Consider the following 21,136-nt stretch of genomic DNA (forward strand, 5'->3'; position numbering starts at 1 on the left):
TGAGTAAAGAGCCACATATGACCAAAGCTGTGTGCAACAGCAAAGCACAGCAAACTGTGGCTGCCAAGACTTCCGATTACACCATTAATAAACTTCATTCCTTGCTTAAGTATCTCAAACTCTCTAGCACTCTGTTTCCTGTTCTACTAAGGGAAAGCTTGAACCAGGCTCTTTTAGTCCATTTATTTGTCTCCTAAAAGTCAAACACAGTGCAAAGACATGAGCAGACTATGATGAGAGAGTCCCTGCTCTTGAGGTCACATTCCAACCAGGAGAAAGTTCAGTATCTATCTTTATACACAGCCAAATCCAATAAAACTTTATCAAATTCTTTTCATTTAAAAATCCTATGGCTTCATGGAGGAAATGAGATTAATAAAAGTAGCTTGAAAATTAAAAGCACAGTACTAATGCAGGTTTTATCATCATCACCCCAAAACCTGAAAAAAACCAATTTACATTGAATTTGCAATTGATTCATGGTTTTGTTCTTCACGAGGAAGAAAAAGTTGCAGACAGTATGTTGTAGCAAAGATTTATGCAGAGAAAGGTGTACCTCTGTTTATGGAAAAATAGTTTATTATTCATTTATCCACTCATTGCTGGATGTTTTAAGCAGATTTGTATAAACTTTGGGCACCATTTGGATATAGTTAGTGGTGGTTTAGCTATGGCGTTCCAAATATACCCCCTTAAATAAAATTATCTCCCATGGCAGAAAAAGTTATGTCTGCTCTTGGTGTGAATATAAATAAGTAGTATTAGAAGGCAGTTTGGCAGATGCAACCAAAATTTCTACCAAAATGTTGAAAAAGAGTATAATTTGTAACCTAGCAATTCAAATCCTATTCAAAGGTAATGTACCTGCCAAGGCATATATATAAGGCTCTTTGGTGCAGCACTTTTAAAAGCAAAAAGTAGAAATGGCCTAAATTCCAGAACTACAGGAATAGTTAAAATGCTGGGCCACTGAATCCAATGAAATACATCTAGAGATACAAACGTAAAAATATCTCATGGCACATTACTACATTTAAAAAAAGCAAGTCACAGAATAATACATTATTTTTTACTTAATTTATGTAAAGGAAGCTATACACATGTCTGTATACACTAAGCTATATCCAGTAGTTACCTGAAAAAAAAAAAAATTCTAGTGAACTATAAAAGAAGAACTTAGTTTTTTGGGGTTTTTTTTGACTTCTATAGTTTTGTGTTTCTTGACTCTTTTAATGAGAATGTTGTCTTTTATTACTTGTGAATGATTTTCATTTTAATAATTAAAATATAGAGAAAAATAGAGTAATGATTCATGTTGCCTTGTTCTGTCAAATTAAATGCTGTGCAAGAATACAGTGGTTAAGAACATGAACTTTATATAGTCAGACTAACCTGTGATCCAAATCTGCTCCTAATACTTATCAACTATGTGACTTTGTGTAAGTCATGCAACTTCTCTGGTTCTCCATTTCTTCATCTGTACAATAAGAATAATAAATGTAAATGAGATAATTTGCATAAAGTATATAGCACAGTATTTGGTATGTAGGAATTATTTGAAAAGCAGTAGCTGCCTTTCTTCCCCTTGTCTTTTTAAAAATTATTATTTATATCACCCTCATCATCACAAAATGATTTCAATTAAGTATACACATGGACTTTTAAAACTCACTTTACCAGTATAGATATGTATATGCATACTCATATGCTGTGGGGAGGTCCTATTTCATGCATATGTTTAGAATGGCCACTTTTTTCCATTAAGTTCCTATGGTACTGAGCCAGCGAGCCATGAGCTATACTGAATAAAGTCCCAGGGAATTGACTTTTTGCAGCATTACCCTAAGCCCTGGGTAGGACAGGCTTCTGCCTTGGGCTCTGTATGTTAGAGGACCCACATCATCAAGTCCCTGAGACGCCAAATTATATACCCTATATCCTTGAAAGAATAGTTATTTGTGGAGATTTGCGGGCTTAGTCACTGCCAACTTTGGAAACAGACACTAATTTGGAGTTTGAGGAGGATTTGGGTGGCAGGAGCACTTGATAAGAGAAAAGGCAACTTAATTAATTTATCCAGTCTTCCCTCTCTGATATCATGAGTGCTCTAGATTTTTGTCTAACAAAGTATCTTTTCATAGTAGTGTTCAGCATCCATTTTCTTATTTCTCTTTGTGTTCTAATTTGTGATTCAGGAAGGACCCATGAATTAACACTGTGCTACAGCACACATGGTAACTGAGGAACATTTTGTAATATATAATAATCCAATAAGTGTATAAATACACACATATATAAATATATAATATATAATACATATATACATTATATATAATAATATGCACAATATATATTATATATCTATATAATGCCAGAAATTTGATATCACCTCTTTACATTAGCAACCAAAAGGACATTGAAAGCTAGAATTCTCAAGTTTTAATTTTATACGAAAAGTAATAAAAATCAATAAAACACAAATATTAAAAACAGCTTTTCTTTGCTTTTTAAATGTTTTATGTTTTTAATGGACAAATAATAATTGTACATATTCCTGGGGTATGTAGTGATGTTTCAATACATGTAATGCAGAGTGATCAGAACAGGGTAATTAATTAGCATATTCATCATCTCAATCATTTATCATTTCTTTATGTTGGGAATGTTCGATGTTTTCCTTCTAGCTATTTGAAACTATAAATTTTTAGCTATAATCATCCTACAGTACTATAGAACACTAGAACTTATTTTTCCTATCTGGCTATAATTTTGTATTCTTTAACAGATCTCTCTTTCAAAATAAAAGTTAATCAATGACAAGCCTCCGAAAATGGTGCTAACATGGCTGATAAAGGAAAAGGTGCACAAGCCAAGAGTTTGCTCCAAATCTATCTTTGTACTTGGCACTCTTTTGTGTAATTCCTTTGTGCTTATTACTAGGAGGCATGGCCTTTACTGTGCCCTTATCCATGACATTATTGGGAATAGTACATAGATTATATGTAATATTTTCTGGTTCTTTTAAAATATGAAATGTTTTGATTAAACCTTACAGCATCTCTTGGACACATAAAGAAATACAAGTTGCACCAAGAGAGTTAAGCAAAAGATGCTCAAAAAGAAAATTGTAGTCATCACAGAAAATCAAAGTAATTTATAATTAGAATAAATTTTATAATTAGTATAATTTGTGCACAGTTATTTGGTATAAATGGATGGGTGCTATTAATAATGCTAGAAAAAGTTTACAAAACCCTAAACAAATCTAGTCTTCTTTTACTTTTAAAAGATTTAACACACACACATATTATATGTATATAACATATCATAGTATTTTAATTATGAAATGTATTTTTATAAGTAATAGAAACTACATGTGAGTTACCCAATAAAAATGACATATCAATAAAATATAAGAAAATTTGAAGTTGGAAACAAAAATGACTCTAAGGAGAAACAAATAATATGTGCAAATAATCCTGAAACTAATTTTTTGTATTTTTAGTAGAGATGGGGTTTCACCATGTTGGCCAGGCTGGTCTCGAACTCCCGACCTCAGGTGATCCACCCACCTCAGCCTCCCAAAGTCCTGGGATTACAGGCGTGAGCCATCGCCCCCAGCAACAACAACATAATTAGTACATTTTCTGAAATAAAGGAAAGACAGTAAATTCTGTGAAATAAATATATAATAATTTATGAATTTTGTATGTCTTTATTACTCATCCTAACATCATCAGCCTTTCAACAGAATACCCAGACAGACCATCTGATATTTTGCCAACTTTCAGTTAAATAAAAACCACAGCTTTCTAATACCTATAAAAATTTTGTAGTAATGAAGGTGTATTTGTCAAAATAGGAGAACAGAACATATTTGGCTTAACAATTTGTAGCATGAAATATAACTTTGAAATAATTGGACATATGCTTCTTGGGTCTCCATTTATGTTCTTATCCGGAGCCCTGAAAATTTTAGGGGTGGGCTGATGTGTTATACTTACACAGGTGACCCTTCTACCCATACAAGGAGCAAATAATCATAAGTGTTGCTGGTCTTACCACAGGGAAAGTAAAGCATCCTGCTGGAGTGAGGAGTGAGGCATTGCTGGTTTTCTACAGAAGCACTGGAGCATTTCAAGCCCTTGGGCTTGATTCATGACATTCTTTCTGTCTAAGTGACTATAGAGGAGGAAAATACCCTCTCCCCCACATTCATCCAGACACTTCCTATTCCCTCTTCATGTGCCAGTGTTGTGGTGTGAATTGTGTTCCCTAAAAAGATATGTTAAAATTCTAACTCCCTGTGCCAGTAAATGTGATCTTATTTGGAGATACGGACTTTGCAGATCTAATCAAGTTAAGATGAGGTCATACTAGAGTGGGGTGGGTCCAAAATCCAATAATTGGTGACATCATAAGAAGACTGTGAGAAACACACAGAGACCCAGGGAAGAGGCCATGTGAATGAAGATGGAGGCAGAGACTGAATTTAGGTTCCCACAAACCAAGGAATGCCAGAAACCACCAAAAGCTGGAAGAGGAAAAGGAGGATTCTTCCTTACAGACTTCAGAGAGAGCATGGCCCTGAAAACACATTGATTTCAGACTTTCAGCCTCCAGAATCATGAGAGAAAAAATGTCTGTTGTTTTAAGTCACAGCAGCTGTAAGAAACCAGTACAAGTATCACTGTGTTTTAAGCCTGTGGGCCTGACTCATGAGTGTCTATCAGAAATGCCCTCTCCTCTATATTCACTTAGATGTTTCATATTTCTCCTTTGCATGTCATTCATGGCTTTCAGGAAGACTTTTTTGGCAGCCCAGGGCAGGTCTGGCTTTATGCTACCAGCAGCCCAGGGCAGGTCTAGCTTTATGCTGTCAGATGGAGTGGGCTATAAGTAGAATGTGACCAGGCTGATGGTGATGCTGCTGCTTCTAGCCTGGCATCATACTGGTTTTCCTCTGCAGTTGAGAAGAGTCATGTGCAAGCTCGTGGCAGCAGCAAGTCCTCCTAATATGTCCCTGGTATCAAACTAACTCATTAGACTGTGGTAGCTGTGGTTGACTCCTGGTTTCTCCCAACTCCACCCTTTTGGCAGGCAGCAACCCTGGCCAGCAGCTGCTCATGGTCTAGGAAGGACAGCTGTCTTAACACCCATTCATCTGTAGAGAGCAGCCTTTTGGATCAGCGGATGGCTCCACCAGATGCTCAGCTTGTTTTCAGTTCTGGAGTCTGAAATCCCCAGTGCCATCTACCTGGCATCAGTCTCAGGTGCAGCATTTTCATAAGGACCCTGATGTCAGCAGCTGCTTGTGTGGGTAACACTAGGTGAAATCATCCACTTATGTTCTCAGGTTAAGAGTTGATTAGGCCAATTGTATCCAGATCATTTTCCCTTATGAACAATGGCAGCTGCATGGCACATTTTTCAAAAATTTAGTCTAAAATACATGAAAAATATACTGTTTTCCTTTTTCTTGGAAATGGGAAAATAGATTTGGACTCAGTTCCTGAATTATATTTTCTCTCTCCCTGGGTTTCAATAGCAAGCCTAATGTAACTGTGTGTAAAAAGAAGTATTTTAATTTGGAGGGAAGGAGTTTGCCCTCACCACAAATCAACATTCTTTTCTCTATAAAACACTTGAGCTTGCATATGCAAATGAACCCCATGTAGGCATAATAATTAGTCATTCTTTCACAAAGAAATAATTGATGAACATTGTGGTATATGACAGACAGCATTAAGATACGTCAAGATTCTTTTGGATCTCTCAGCTTGTCAAAAAGCAGATGTCGATTTTGTGGCCTTGCTGGTAAAACATTGGACTCTTTCTCTTGGTGCACAATTTAGTCACCTTCTATAATTTGCTTTGAAATGAACAAGATCTGGCATAATATATCTTCTATTTAATGAGCAATATTACAAACAAGATTAAAAGAAATGGCTATGAAGCTATTGTCTTTGCAAATTGAATTTGGCAAGAGACGACTACAGACAAGTAATGAACTTTCTAGATACGTCACAGGGACAGATCATCATACTCCAGAATGGCATAGCTTTCTTTACAAACTTTAGTAAATGTATGGGAGAGCTTGTCATTCAAATACTAACAATTACAGAGATTCTAGGATGAATTCCAATAAGCTCATGTGGTTTAATTTTAGATGCAAACAGAAAGAAATCATTATTCACATAATTTTTGTTGTTAACCTTTTGGAGTAAAGTTGACAGAGTTGGAAAATCTGTACATTTAAAAAGTGTTACTGTTTATGATTACTGCGTTAGTCTGTTTGGACTGTTATAACAAAAATATCCTGGATGGGGTTGCTTTAACAACAAACATTTATTTTCCACGGTTCTGGAGGCTGGGAGGTCCAAGATTGAGGTGCCTGCAGATTCTGTGTATGGTGAGGGCCTGCTTTCCAGTTCACAGACAGCCATATTCTCACTGTGTTCTCACAGGGTTGAAGGGCAAGGGGCCTCTCGAGAGTCTCTTTTTACAAACTGTGCTTATCCCATTTATGAGGGCCTCACCTTCATGACCTAATCACTTCCAAAAGCCCTACCTCTAAATACCATCACATTGGGGATTAGGTTTCAACACATCAATTTTGGGGGAGCCATAGAGATTCAGTCCATAGCAACTACTAATGTTAATAATAGCAGTTACCATTTACTGAGTAGTTACATATGGTAGCCACTCTATTTAGTGCTTTCCATTTAATCCTCACTGCCATAGAAAAGAGATAAGTAACATTGTTATTCCCATTTTCAAATTAGCAATGTGAGTGTTTTAACCATAAACTTGTCCGAGATCAAGAGTTAGAAAAGAGAAGAGTCAGAATTCCACGTGTGCCCCATGACTTGAGATTCTGCACTTTTATTTGCAGGGTGAAACATCTCACAGTGGAAGAGGAGCATTCTGTGTTGAGAATTTCCATTGACGAAGCCAACTGAGTGGCCTGATTCCCTTGGACCAGCAATCTAGAGCTAGGGAAGATGTTGCCCCAAGGAAGAGGCACAGCAGACACTTGGCTCTCCTCTTGGGTTTCTGCTTTCTCTGAGAAAACAGAAGTTTGAGGCCTCTAGAAGCACTGCATTCCCTCCAAAGGGAGGTTGTAGATACATTAATTAATATGATTTTAATTCAAAACTTCCTGAGGCAGATAATTCTAAATGATTATCCCAAAAATATTTCCAACACCCTTCTTTTTACCACCCACTGGCCCCCAAATCCTCAATTTTCCAGTCTCCCTTGAGCTAAGTGTGGCCCTATGACTCACTTCCAGCCATGAAAACAAGTGCAAATCTGTTAGGAGTATGTTCTGGGGCAATTTTTGCTCTCCTGATGAAGACAAAGGCTGTTGATCCACTGAACCCACCCAGGTAATCACTTATTTTGTTCTTGTTCTAAGAGAAAAATGACCCCAACTATTAAAGTTACTGTGAGTTGATTAGTTTGTTTCTACTACCAAATATATTCCTAACTGCTACAGCTTTCAATATTTAATCATATTTAAAATTTTTCTTATGCAGATTAAATAGGTCAACAGATAAGGTAATTAGCATAATATTATCACCATTTTAAAGGCAAGGAGGAGGAGGCAGGCATGGTGGCTTACATCTGTAAATTCCAGCAACTCCAGAGCCTGAGGTGAGAGGATTGTTAGAGGCCAGGAGTTCAAGACCAGCCTAGGCAACATAGAAAGACCCCCATCTTTACAAAAAATTTAAAAAGTGTGCCTGTAGTCCTAGCTACTGGGGAGACTGAGGCGGGAGGATCACTTGAGCCCGGGAGTTGGAGGCTGCAGTGAGCTATGATCACAACACTGCCCTCCAGCTGAGTTACAGGGTGACATCCCCATCTCCAAACAAAAAAGATAAGGAGAATACAATCTAGGGTGACATAGCTACCAGTGTAAGAGCTGGAGCTGGTATTCAAGCCTTCCAGCTCCTGCCTGGGTGCGCTTTAAAACACTTAGTGAAGAGGCCTGAGCGGTAACCATCAGGGATGTGGATGTTGTGGGTTTTTTCCTCATCTTTTCCATTAGATCCACATAGAACTCAAATATCACTGCAGATTGATTTCAAACAGGGAAGGAAAAAAATACATTCGATATCCCCTGAAAGATGAAGGGAATCATTTATGGAATAGAGAGAGTTAGATTACCAGATGTAATGAATATGCAAGAGAATTCTTCAAGCACACAGAACAGAGAAATGGAGAAAGATGAAAATAAACTTCTATTATGGTAGTGAATTGGCTAAGGAATTAGCACAGGCAAAGGGAAAAGGAAATCACCTAAATATTTCAGTGTGCTCATTTTATTCAAACGTAAGCAAAGAGAGCTTAATGAATGCAGCCTGAGTGGAGAGAGAGAAATGAAAAAGAGAGAAAGAAAAAATAATGAGGAGAGAGGAAGAAAGAGGATGAGAACTTGAGATAACTCTAAACTGGAGCAACCATGTGGATTCCTTAACTGGAGGAACCAGGAATCAACATACATAATATAGATTTCCACCTTTTCTTCTTCCTATCAAGAAATCTAAATGGAGTCTTTAAAAGGTTCCTGTTTTGGGAGGGGAACAACACACACTGGGGCCTGTCGGGGTGGTGCTGGGGAAAAGAGAGCATTAGGAAAATTAGCTAATGCATGCTGGTCTTAATACCTACTTGATGGGTTGATAGGTGCAGCAAACCACCATGGCACACGTTTACCTATGTAAGAAGCCTGCATATCCTGCACATGAACCCCAGAACTTATAAAAATAAAAATAATTTAATAAAAGATTGTGTTTAAAGTCCTTTCACTGGCATTTGGAGAAAGTTGAATGATGTTCTACGTTGATGGCTGCAGGCAGTCAACTTTGTGATGTAGACAGAGGCTCTCTTTGGCAAAGATGTTAACTCCACATAGCCTGATATCTAGCTAGCTTTGGCCCAAGGGCATTGAAATGTACATTTAAAAAGCAAATGTTTGAGAGGCATAAGCCATTGCCACTCAAAGACATACCAAATCAGAACGTTCCATAGATGTCTAAGCCAAAAGATGGGTAGAGGACAAAGAGTTTGGGTGTGAAGGCAGTGACACAAGTTTGGAGCATGAGGCTCTGATTAGCAGGCCTGGCTGCAGTGCCATGGAAGAGAGGGTTAAAGGTATTCAGATGAGATGCACTACCTGGCTCAGAGGACAGAGGGATGATCAAAGAAAAGTTTGTCCAGCCCTATCCAAAGTGGATTTGTTTTAAAATCGTGTAATGACTCTGATCCCTGAAAGATCTTATCTACAACACAAGTTGTAGTTACCATTTTCATATCAGTGACTCACAAAAGTATATCTCTTGTCTGATCCTTTCCTTTGAGCTATATTCCTTGGTTTCTGCTGCAGAATGAATAACTTCAGAAGCTTAGTGGTTTATGACAATGCTCACAGGTCTGCAGATCAGCTAGGCAAGGCACTGCTCAGCTGGATTAGGCCAGACCCAAGCACCTGGTTGTGTTTGGGTCAACAGTGCATCTTAATTCTAAGGCTTGGGCTAGAGGGGCAGTGGCTTGCTAAAGCATGCTCTTCTCATGAAAGATCACAAGAGGACAAGCCAAACATGAAAGCATGTTAAAAGTCTCTGTTTGCATCTTGGCCACTAACCTTCTACTGACCAAAGTAAGTTTCAGGGCCAAATTTCAAATCAATAGGTGGGGAAACATACCCCTCCCACTAGGAAAGTTACATGGCAAAGACTGTGAGTGTAAAATTCTATTGCAAGTGAGTGAAGAATTGGAAACAAAAATCCAACATGCCACAGAGCTCTAACCCCATTTATCTAGGTGCCTAGGAGAGATAAATGCATTTTGATATCTCTAAGTCACTTTAAATTCAACATGAGCAAAACTACACTTATGATCCATCTCCTCCTCACTCCATACATGCACACACAGCCCATCCCTCCTTCAGCTTCTTCTGTCTTGGTGGATGGCACCACCATCCATGCACCTACATGGATAAGCCAAACCCTAGAGTCACCCTTGACATCCCTCTCTCCATCACCCTTTCTAAACTAATCAATTGCCAAGGCTTACTGATTTGTTTTCTAAATATCCCTAGAGTCCATCTTTCTCCATTTCTAATACCACTATCCTTTGCTCAGGCTGCTATTTTTGCCTGTGTTCCTGCAGTACATCCTGTCTGGTTTCTTTACATCCATTCTCACCCACTTCTATCACAGCCTTTGCACTATAGACAGTGATCATTTTAACAATGCATATATATCTTATCATTATCTTGTTTAAAGCTGTCCAGTTGCTACCCGTTATCCTCATGATAGCTATCAAAGTCTTAAACGTGGCCTATAGGACCTGCATGATCCAGCCTCTTCCTAACTGCCATCCCATTCTATAACCCATTCTGTCCTTGCCCCCTGCACCCTGGTAACACCCGCTTACTTCAGTTCCTTCTCAGCTCTAAGCTCCTCTGATGCAGGGCCTTTGCCTGTGCTGCCCTCTGTTCTAGGTAGCTCTTAACCACATTCTTTGCCTATTTGAGTTTGATTCGTTCCTCCTATCTAAGCTCAAGTGTCTCTTTCTTGGAGAAGCTTTTTTCACTCATAAAGACTATAACAGATCTTTGATTGTCCTCTCTTCACAACATACTTTTCCTTTTTGGCCCTCAACACAGGTTTTATTGTTATGTGATTGCCCAGGAAGGAAATCCATGAAGGAATTGGCTATAGGGGTGCTGGGCATGTGGGAAACAATTGGTGGAAGCCACTGCCATCCCTGGCACTGGAAGGGATGAAGGGGAGAGGTGGCGTCATCAGAAACCGAGAGCTGGAGAAAGCCTCATGGGTGATGGGAGGAGAAGTAGTGATGGGGAAAAACATCCCTTGGCTTTTCCCTTCCTCCTCCCCTCCAATCTCCTGCCAGAGTCTTCTGCTGACTGAACCTACCAGAAAGACAGAAGGAAAAGGAAATATAGCAGAGCAGGGGAGGAGCAGAAAACAGCTCTGAGAACAAACAAGCATAGGCTCATGACTGCAGTTTACGTATTTGTTTATGTGGTTATTTGTACACCATCTGTCTCCCATACCAGACTGCACCAGGGCTGTGTTAATGTTACTGGCCACTGATTCCTCAGTGCTTTTTACAGGGATTAATATTGATCCTTAATATTTGTTGAATTGATGAGTCAATGAGAGATCTCTAAGAATGGAAAAATAGGTATGTATTAAAGGTCTAGTGGGCACTATCTTGAGAAGGAACATATTTTCTCCCTCTACCTCTCCCTATCCCCTTTCTTTTCCAGAGGTTTCTAGTTAGAACTTCCCATCCACAGTTTTGTTGTTGGCGAAATGACAAAAGTATGAAATTGTGATGCTAGTTGTCCATATTCACACACACACACACACACACACACACACACACACACACAGAGTTTCTTTCTCTTCCCTTAGTCACAAGGGCAGGGCCCTGCGGAAGGTCTTTTGTAGTTTGCAGAACCTGTTTGTGACACCGAAGAATCTGTGGGAAACCAGATGCCAGCCTCTTGTTTTCCAAGGGGAATATTAAATAGCGGCTATCAGTCACTCCTCTGACTTTGAACAAAATTGTTTAAAAATCAAAGTGTTTATGTCCATAACCATGTCACCAAATGATCAAACCAGGTTATTTGCAAATGTGTGTGTTTATTTATTTATTCATTTTTGAGATGGAGTCTAGCTCTGTTGCCCAGGCCGGAGTGCAGTGGTGCGATCTATGCTCACTGCAACCTCTGCTTCCCAGGTTCAAGCAATTCTTCTGTATCAGCCTCTTGGGTAGCTGGGGCTACAGGCACATGCCACGACGTCTAGCTGATTTTTATGCTTTTTAGTAGAGATGGAGTTTCACCATGTTGGCCAGGCTGGTCTCGAACTCCTGACCTCAAGTGATCCGCTCACCTCGGCCTCCCAAAGTGCTGGGATTATAGGCATGAGCCACCGTGACCGGCCTTAATGTGTTTTCGACCCTATTTTCAGAATCTGTCATGAAAGTCTTTTAGACTGTTTTGGGGAAGCATTGATATTTGGGGCAAGCTATCATTTGGAAATTACAACTTTAAGGAGAGATTTTTATAACCATAGCCATGGATGGGGCGGCGATGGTGGCCAGAATCTCAGAAATAGTGAGACAAGTCTCCAGGCTTTATTGCCAACTGATTCTACCTGCTATGTAAAACTGTGTAAGAACCTCCCAGGATTCCCATCTTGGTGTTGGTAGGAGAGTAAGGCAGACATAGACCAGGGTCAGGGGCCCATGAACACTTCCTTGCTTTTAGTGTTCTTTCCTTGATACCCTTAGTGACTAATGTGGGAAAGGCAGTGGTGTTCCTCAAACATCCCAGTTGCTTCCTCACGTTTTTCAGCACCTGCACAGGTAGGCAGGGTTACAAGACTGGTTCTGGCTCAGGGACTGTGACTGAAGAAGATGTGTGTCATTTCCAGGCCAACGCATAGACAAGCCACCGTGGCACCTGAACTGGACTTGTGTTGAAATGCACAGCTTGCATGGCTGAGTAACACTGGAGGGAAAGTGTTCTAGAGACTTATTTGGACCCACAGCAGAATTTGTATGAGCAGGAGACCTCTGTTATGTTAGGCTACCGAGCTTATTACTATAGCATAAGCTGGCCTATTCTGACCTATTCTGACCAATGATGTGTGGATACAGTAAAAGAAGGAAGACTTCTAAAGCTTTTGTCTGGTTGTATTGTTCTGCCTTTTCTTCTGTTGATTCTCTTTCCTTTGAGAGTGTAAGGAGTACATTGGGGTGTGTGATGTTATTATATATATATGATTTATATATATATATATATCATATATATATGTTATATATATATATATCATATATATATGTTATATATATATATATATATCATATATATATGTTTTCATCCTTCCTGACTCATAACTCCCATAGCCCTTGTTATAGGCTTTTCTTATAATGTTGGGGTGAATTGAGCCTCAGAAACAGGCCTCAGAAAATAGAAGTTTGCTCTCTGATCTTCTCCTGCCTTCGTTTCACCTGCTCCTTTGTTTTCCTCCAAAGCAGGACTCTAATCTTCCCCAACCTATCCAAAAAGAAATTTTATGACTTAGCTTGTCTGATTGTAGATCATAAGACCCCCATCTCAGAAGGAGCCCTGCCCCATACCTGGGAGGAAAGAATACTGCACAGAGAGGCCAAGAAAAATCTGAACAGACAGGCCTTGCTGGGTTCCTCACTCAGCCTATTAGTATTAAGTCATACCCTTTTTATCAGATCTCATGTCTACACTGTTGTCAATCATGCCTACCCAATGAAGTCTCCATAAAAGGCCCAAGAAGACAGGGAGCTTTCAGATAGCTGAACACATGGAGGTTCCTGGAGGATGGTGAGCCCCGGAGGGTGGTGAGCCTTGGAAGCTCCACAGCTCTCCCCATACCTTGCCCTGTGTAACTCTTCATCTGTATCCTTTCTAATATCCTTTCTGATAAACCAGTAAATGTGTTTCCTTGTGTTCTGTGAGCTGTTCTCACAAATTATTCAAATCTAAGGGGCTGGATGTCATGAGACCTCTGATTCATAGCCAGTCGATCAGAAGCACAAGAATAACAACCTGGGGTTAGCAACTGGTCTCAGAAGCTGGGCTGGGGTGGGGTAATCTTAGGGACTGAGCCCTCACTCTGTGGGATCTAACACTATTTCCAGGTAGGTAGTGTCAGAATTGAGTTGAATTAGATGGCACGCAGTGGTGTCTGCTGCAGAATTGATTGCTTGCTTTTTGGTGGGGAAAAACCCCCACATATTTGGTAGCAGAAGTCTTCTGTGATGATTGATTGTTACTGTGGTTGAGAGCAGAAGAAAAACAATTTTAGTTTTTCCACTCAAAGGGTGAAAAATAAGCCTAAAAATTTAGTTAATTTGGAGTTTGGTTGTGACAGTCTTTATTTCTGATATATTGAATCTAGGTCTAATAATAAGAGGAAGAACTCTCGCTAAAAGTGGACAGGCCAAATTCTTTCAAAGCCATTGAACTTCTACTATAGGATACCGCCTATAGAACATTCCTGGGCAGAATCTCCAGGCATCATGTGAGGTGGGAGGTGGTGTTGGAAGAAGGCTTCTTACGCTTCAAATTACATCCCACCATTGCTCAAGAAGACATATTTGTTGGACTAATAATATTTTGTCTCTGTTAACATTCAACACTTAAATGAGTACTTAGGAACATATTGAAGATGAAAAAATGAAATACCCTCTTGAGGCCCTAAAGGAGTTCACAGGGTAATGCTTTTTTATTTTTTTATTTTTAAAATTATTTTATTTTTTGTCTCACTTCTATCACCCAGGCTGGAGTGCAATGGCGTGATCTTGGCTCACTGCAGCCTAAACTTCCCAAGCTCAGGTGATCCTCCCACATCAGCCTCCAAAATAGCTGGGACTATAGGAGCATGACACCACGCCTGCTGAATTTTTTTTATTTATTATTTTTAGTAGAAGTGAGATTTTGCCATGTTGCCTGGATTGGTTTCGAACTCTTGGGCTCATGATTGGCCCTCCTCAGCCTCCCAAAGGGCCAAGATTACAGGCATGAGCTGCCATGCCCATCTGGTAATGCTTATAATCACAGCAAGACATTAAAACCAGTGTCAGTCATGAATAAATAGGTCAGGGTTAGATTTCTAGGCTGTACAAGACTGAATCTATTTCATTACACTGTTTTATTTCTCTTGTATCCCTTATCACAATCTGAACTTTTACAAAATTAGCCAAACTTCCTATTATCTGCTCCCGCCATTAGAGTGTGGCACTGCAAGAGCTAGGAGTTGCCCGTTCATCACTGTATCTCCAAAGCATAAGAGGGTGCCTGGTACAAAGTAAATGCTTGATAATCTATTTGATAAATGAATGAATAAGTGAATAAATGAAATAAATGAATGACAGGGTGGAAAAGTGCTACTGTCTGCACATATGGACTCACTCTCTGGGGAAGTCAAGGCTGGATGGAGATCAAGTTTGCTCACAGAGCAGGGTGAGAATTTTGGGAGTCCAGGGGCCTAACTGATGGGGAAGGTGAGAGAATTGTTCTAAAAAAAAATTTGAGAGTGGAAAAGGAAAAGCCACCGTCACAGTTTTGCCTTATAGCCAGTGCTAGAAGTTTGGCCTGGTTACATGGTTAACCCTAAAGAATTATCTAGAACCACCTCCTTAGCACTATCTGAAAGTTCACATCTTCTGACTGAGGGCACAGAAAACCTCTGGCTGTAGAGTATCAAGCAGGGAAAATTTATTTTTTTAGGGGTGACAGGAAAAGTATTCCATGACGCTCTGTGATATTTCTGGATATTTCAGACACTATGTGGTTTCTTGAATGTCCTACGTACATTTTGATGGATTACCCAAGGACTATCTGATGAAGAATAATAGAGACATATAAATACATATGGGCTACATCTTGGCAAAATAAAGTAATCCTGAAGTAAATTCTAAGGATGTTCTGAATTGACACCTCTTAAGCACAACCGAATGTCCTGGTGGCTTTGCCTCCCACTGGGGCTTTTTGGCTCTTGTTTGGCCCCAGCGGCTGCTGCAGCTCTGTCTGAATTCACACAGGAGCAACATGATGGTGCTCAGCCCTCGCCGAAGTGTCTTGCTGAAGAGTTGGGAGATGCTTGGACTATTCAGATAGAAGCCAGCTGGAAGTACAGGGCAGTCAACACAAACCAGAGAGGCAAACTTTTGGCCAGTGAGACATGGAAAGGGAGAAGAAATACATTCTTCTTTCTCCCCTAGAGTGAGGACCAACCTGAGTCCCAGTCACCTGGAATCCCCTCAGACGAGCGTCCCTTGAGATCCAGCACATGGCAGCCAGCGTGCTGACGATTCCTTCCTGCCTACTGGCTCCTTCTTATTTCTGCCTCCGTGGAACTGTATTCTCTAATCAATATTAGCACATACATATTGCCCCAGACTGTACCTCCTGGGAACCCAGGATAAAGCACTATCTAAACATTTTGTCTTGGAATTGTAATAAACTTCAAAAGAAAAATACAACTTGAAAGTTAAATATTTATTGTGTGCACTTCTTTTCTTCATGTTTACACCAAATCATATAAAGGTCAACTACTTTCAGGACTCTGTGAAGTTTCCATTGAAATACAGTCCAAATTTCTGCCATCAGAAGTGTTCCCATGGCTGGGCACACTGGTTCACATCTTTAATCTCAGCATTCTGGGAGGTCGAGACAGGTGGATTGCTTGAGCCCAGGAGTTCAAAACCAGCCTGGGCAACATGGGGAAACCCCATCTCTACTAAAAATACAAAAAAAATTAGCCAGGCATGGTGGCGGGCTCCTGTAATCCCAGCTACTCAGGAGGCTGAGGTGGGAGGATCGCTTCAGTCCGGGAGATGGAGGTCACAGTGAGTACAGATTGCACCACTGCACTGCAGCCTGGGTGACAGAGTGAGAGCCCATCTCAAAAAAAAAAAAGAGAAAGAGAGAAAGAAAAGAAGTGTTCCCATGGATTGTAGCAAGCAGTAAAAAACCATAGGAAGAGAGTCAGCATCTTTCATCAGCAAGCCCTTAACAATTTTGATGCTCTTTAGCCTTATATCTTTTTTCTTATGCGATTGTAATAATACTACTTTTACATAAAGGGAAATTAAAAATAGGAGGTTTAACTGATGTGTTCAAAGTCAAACATTAAAAAGGCACCAGCATGGGGTCTAAAGTCCAGGCTTTCTGATCCTCAACCAAAATGTCTTACATTATACTTCCCTGCTTGATTCTCCAAACCTCACCCTGTTGAAAAGCACATAGGGAGGGGCACATGAGTACTTGGAGGAAAAAGCAAGCATATTGGCTGAAATGGGTAGAAAAGCTCAAATAATTTTTAACTTAATAATTTTAGTTTGAATAAACCCCAAATTTCAGATATGATGGAAAGCTGCTGCCTGGAAGATAACTTCAATGTTCCATTTGAGCTGTTTTTGTTCTCGATGCTGTGTCTCATGACACAATGTTAATAGTTTGGCTTGAAACCTGGAGGTATCACACAGCAGTCCAGGTACTTTGTGACAAAGTATTGAATGCAAAGTATTCTCATACTTTGAGAACCAAGAAGAAGAACACTAACTGAGAATAATAAGAGAAGGAAGAACTAGTAAAGAAATCTCGAGTTCTTTCAGGATAAAGAGTCAGGACTCTACAACTTTATTTTGTCATTTAAAATGTTGTCCAGGGCCAGATGCAGCGGCTCATGTGTGTGTGTAATCCCTGCACTTTGGAAGTCCGAGGCAGGTGGATCGCTTGAGCCTGGGAGTTTGAGACCAGCCTAGGTGACATAGTGAGACCTCATTTCAACAACAACAACAAAAGAAAAAGACAACGAAGAAGAAAATTAGCCAGGGATAGTAGCACACACCTGTGGTCCCAGCTACTTGGGAGGCTGAGGCAGGAGAATCACTTAAGCCTGGGAAGCAGAGGTTGAATTGAGCCATGATCATGCCACTGAACTCCAGCTTAGGTGACAGAGTGAGACCCTGTCTGTAAATAAATAAATAAAGTTGTTCAAAAGATCACATTTTCAAGTACATTCCTTTATGGGGGTGTTTGGTTGACATTCACTGTGAAAGAGAAGGGGTGGATTAGGGATTGTTGGAGTTGGAGTGGATGAATTGAGCTAAAGGATACCTCTTGGGGAACTGAACTGAACATCTGAACTCAGAGAACTTTTCGTGTCCTTAGAGAGGACAAGATGGAGACACAGACGAAGTTTATTGACTGCTTTCTTGATGTGAAATAAAAGGGCATCAGGGGCCATCACTGGACAAGATCGGGGATAAGGGTTCCTCCCACCAAAAAAAGCCAGGCTGCCACTAGCCCAAGTAGAGTGAGCCTTTGCACAAATTAAAAAACGGCCCAACACCTCCCATGGACCTGTGCTGCTGCTTCCCTCAGGCGATGGTTACTCTGCCGGTCGCATCTGTTCTCTGATGGGGACGGCTGCTAAAACCCCGCTAGTTTTAGGGAGAAAAGCAGCGCTCTTGGTAACCCTCCCAGCACAACTGAGATGCACCATGATGTGACTTTTAAATAGACCTGACTATAAACTTGAGGAGAGTAGAAGTACAACACAAACTGAAACTTACAACTGCTACCAGGAGGACCAATCTCACTCAGTCTAACTGCAATGTCTTTTGAGACGGCCCTTGTCATCTAGGTCCTGACCTGCAGCTATATGATAGGGATGACTCAAAATGCCTGCCTTTCAGGAATGCACCAAGAAACTCACTTTTGGAATTTCCCGGGCTTGTTCATTCAGCTGTGCAGCAGCTCACATGGAAACCACAAATCTCATTCCCAGAGCAAGGTGCCAAAGAGCAGTCTCGCCCTTCCCATTGTCTTTGGTCCTCCAGCACAGACGTCCTCCAGAGCAGAGAACAGGTGGAGAGAATTTATTTGCATCTCTCAATCACAACTCATAATTTTATTTATTTATTTATTTATTTATTTATTTATTTTTTAGACTGAGTCTCGCTCTGTCACCCAGGCTGGAGTGCAGTGGTGTGATCTTGGCTCACTGCAATTCTGCCTCCAGGGTTCAAGCGATTATCCTGCCTCAGCCTCCCAAGTAGCTGGGACTATCGGTGCCCACCACCACGCCTGGCTAATTTTAGTATTTTTAGTGGAGAGAGGGTTTCACCATATTGGTCAGGCTGGTCTCGAACTCCTGACATTTCGATCCGCCCACCTCGGCCTCCCAAAGTGCTGGGATTATAGGCGTGAGCCACTGCGCCCAGCCACAACTCACAATTTGCAAGCACAGGGCAAGCTAGTCCTGTTTTAGGATGAAGAATTTATTTAATACTTCAGGGACACACTTGTCTAAAATATTCAACTTACTTTGCTACGCAGTTTCCTTAATATTTTAGTCTTAGGTGGTTATATTTGCTGCATGCAAACCTTCCCTAAGGGCAGTATTTGGTCCTTACCTTACATGTGCATGACTGAAAAGGACTCTTTCCAGAACATGGAGAAGTTAGGGCACAAAGAAAAATTAGGGTTTCTGAACCAGAACACCAGAAACTGCATAGAGCCATAACATCTGATGCCCAGCTTTAGAAAAACTGAACCCTCAGTCCCTTCTAGGAGTAACCCAGATTCATGCTAATGAGGACAGTGGGGAAAGCCGTCATCAAAGGTGGCTCGATGGGATTGTTCGCTTTCCAATCTGTCAGACCCCAGTTCTGGCTCTGCATTTGATGATTACATTTGGTACCAAACAGGTTTATATTTCATATTTTTATGCACTCAAGTATTTACTTCCTTTTAACAGGACTAGTCTTCCAGATGTAGAGAATATCTGTCTAGCTCTGACACTAAGTACAGAGTATGTGTCAATTCTTTATGCCTTCCTACTTATTTCTGCTCCTCTTAGTTAAAGTAAGATCCATGCAATTACAAAACATAAAAAGGTTTACTCTCTCTTAATCCATACTCAGCAAAGGATCTGATCCAGCTGCCTATTAGTGGATGAGTTTTGAAAAGAGAGTAACTTCCAAATTGCACATCACCTGAAAAATGCCCCCCAATCTCGTAAAGAGACGATCCACCAAGCTACTCCCTGATTTGTACAATTGGACATTTTCCTGTGGCTGCAGAACTTCAGAATTGGCAATCTGACTATTTTAAGCAAATCTACACATGGGATACAGTCTCTCCTACTTCATATCCATAAAAAATCTACAAAGCCATGGTTCTCTGGATTTCTATTTCTCATTTTTCTTTCCTGGGCTTCAAACTGGTTTTTCAAAAATTTATCTGGGTGCCTCAAAAGTGTTTCAAAACCATGTTCACTATCTTCCATTGTAAATAGGCTTCTTCTGAATAACTTATATTAGGTAAAGTTTAGTTAAACTGGTCACTCATTTGCCAAGTTTCCTAATTCAGCTTAGACATCTGTCTCTCACTACTCTCATCTATTCTGTAATCAAGCCCAGGCATTTCTCCTTGCTGACTATTAATATCTCTTGATGCTCTTTCCTCCTCACCTCCATGCCACAGGTCTTCGCCATGCCTCCCAAGGACTATTCAGCTGAGTGATGATTTATCATGAAGGTTTAGTACATGAAGCTTAGGAGTCACACTGCCTGGGTTCAGATCTGACCTGCCACATTCTGTCTGGTCTTGGTCAAACTATTTATGTCTCTAAGCCTCAGTTTATGGAGCTATAAACAAGAGATCATATTAATATGATGATTAAATAAGATGATGCATGTAAATGTATTTATAATAGTGTGTGCTACATAAAAAGTATTATCCTAAAACTCCATAAAGTCAAAGGGCTTGCTTGTTTTATTCACCACTCCATCCCTGCTGCCGAGCACAACAGAATGTACAGTATATAACAAGTGTTCAGTATTGCGGGATGGATGAATAAGGCTTCATGATACCCCTCCAATTTATTCTCCACAGCCTTTCCAGAGTATGGTAAACTGTATTATTGTTCAAAACCGTTTCTGCTCATCCTTCTGGGAGGATATTCTACTCTGCTCCAGTGTCAGGCTTAGCTGTGTGAGTTGCTTTGGTCAATGCAATGGGAATTTTGTATCCTGGGACATATCTGAACAAAAGCTATAAGCACCTGCATGTAGTCTTCTAGGTTTTCTTTTCCTTCTCCCACAAGACCAGCAATATTTCAAGTAGAAGTTGCTCTATCAGTGGGTCCTGGAGTAAAGTCAAGTGAAACTGAGCTGAGGTCTAATAGTATCAGACATGCAGAATAAGCAAGAAATAACCCATCACCGTTTTAAGCCACTACAATTCTGGGCTTGTTCCCTCTTCCTAGCTTATCCTGGCTGGTCATTCAGAAACACATTTAAGACTGTGTTTCTCTCCACTAGCTAGAAAGTAAGAGTATAATATGTTCAGTTTGACATACACGATCCTTCACCATTTGTCCACAAATCATCTCCTCAATTTACTCCTGCCTGTCTGTTCTGAGACATTGTGTTCCAACCAAACAATTTTTTTTTTTTTGAGACAGAGTCTCACTCTGTTGCCCAGGTTAGAGTGCAATGGCAAGATCTCGACTCACTGCAACCTCTGCCCCCCTAG

General features: G+C 40.4%; 2 long non-coding RNA genes across 4 annotated transcripts; one reads left to right on the plus strand and one right to left on the minus strand.

The window, feature by feature from the left end:
- Positions 1–1,392: 1,392 nt before the first annotated feature.
- Positions 1,393–4,142, minus strand: LOC124905958 (uncharacterized). The gene is made up of 3 exons (XR_007088680.1): positions 4,063–4,142; positions 3,573–3,647; positions 1,393–1,477 (listed from the first exon to the last, which is right to left on the minus strand). It is a non-coding gene; the product is annotated as an uncharacterized LOC124905958 (long non-coding RNA).
- A 288-nt stretch (positions 4,143–4,430) lies between these two features.
- On the plus strand, positions 4,431–20,301 carry LINC02631 (long intergenic non-protein coding RNA 2631). 3 transcript variants are annotated; one of them, NR_174959.1, is made up of 3 exons: positions 4,431–5,273; positions 6,896–7,391; positions 20,084–20,301. It is a non-coding gene; the product is annotated as a long intergenic non-protein coding RNA 2631 (long non-coding RNA). The 3 variants fall into 3 exon arrangements; NR_174957.1 differs by lacking the exon at positions 20,084–20,301 and adding an exon at positions 15,370–16,084 and having other exon boundaries at positions 4,431–5,316; NR_174958.1 differs by lacking the exon at positions 20,084–20,301 and adding an exon at positions 15,370–16,084.
- Positions 20,302–21,136: the final 835 nt, after the last annotated feature.

Source organism: Homo sapiens, chromosome 2 (genome assembly GCF_000001405.40).
Source record: "Homo sapiens chromosome 2, GRCh38.p14 Primary Assembly".
Classification (NCBI taxonomy): domain Eukaryota; kingdom Metazoa; phylum Chordata; class Mammalia; order Primates; family Hominidae; genus Homo; species Homo sapiens.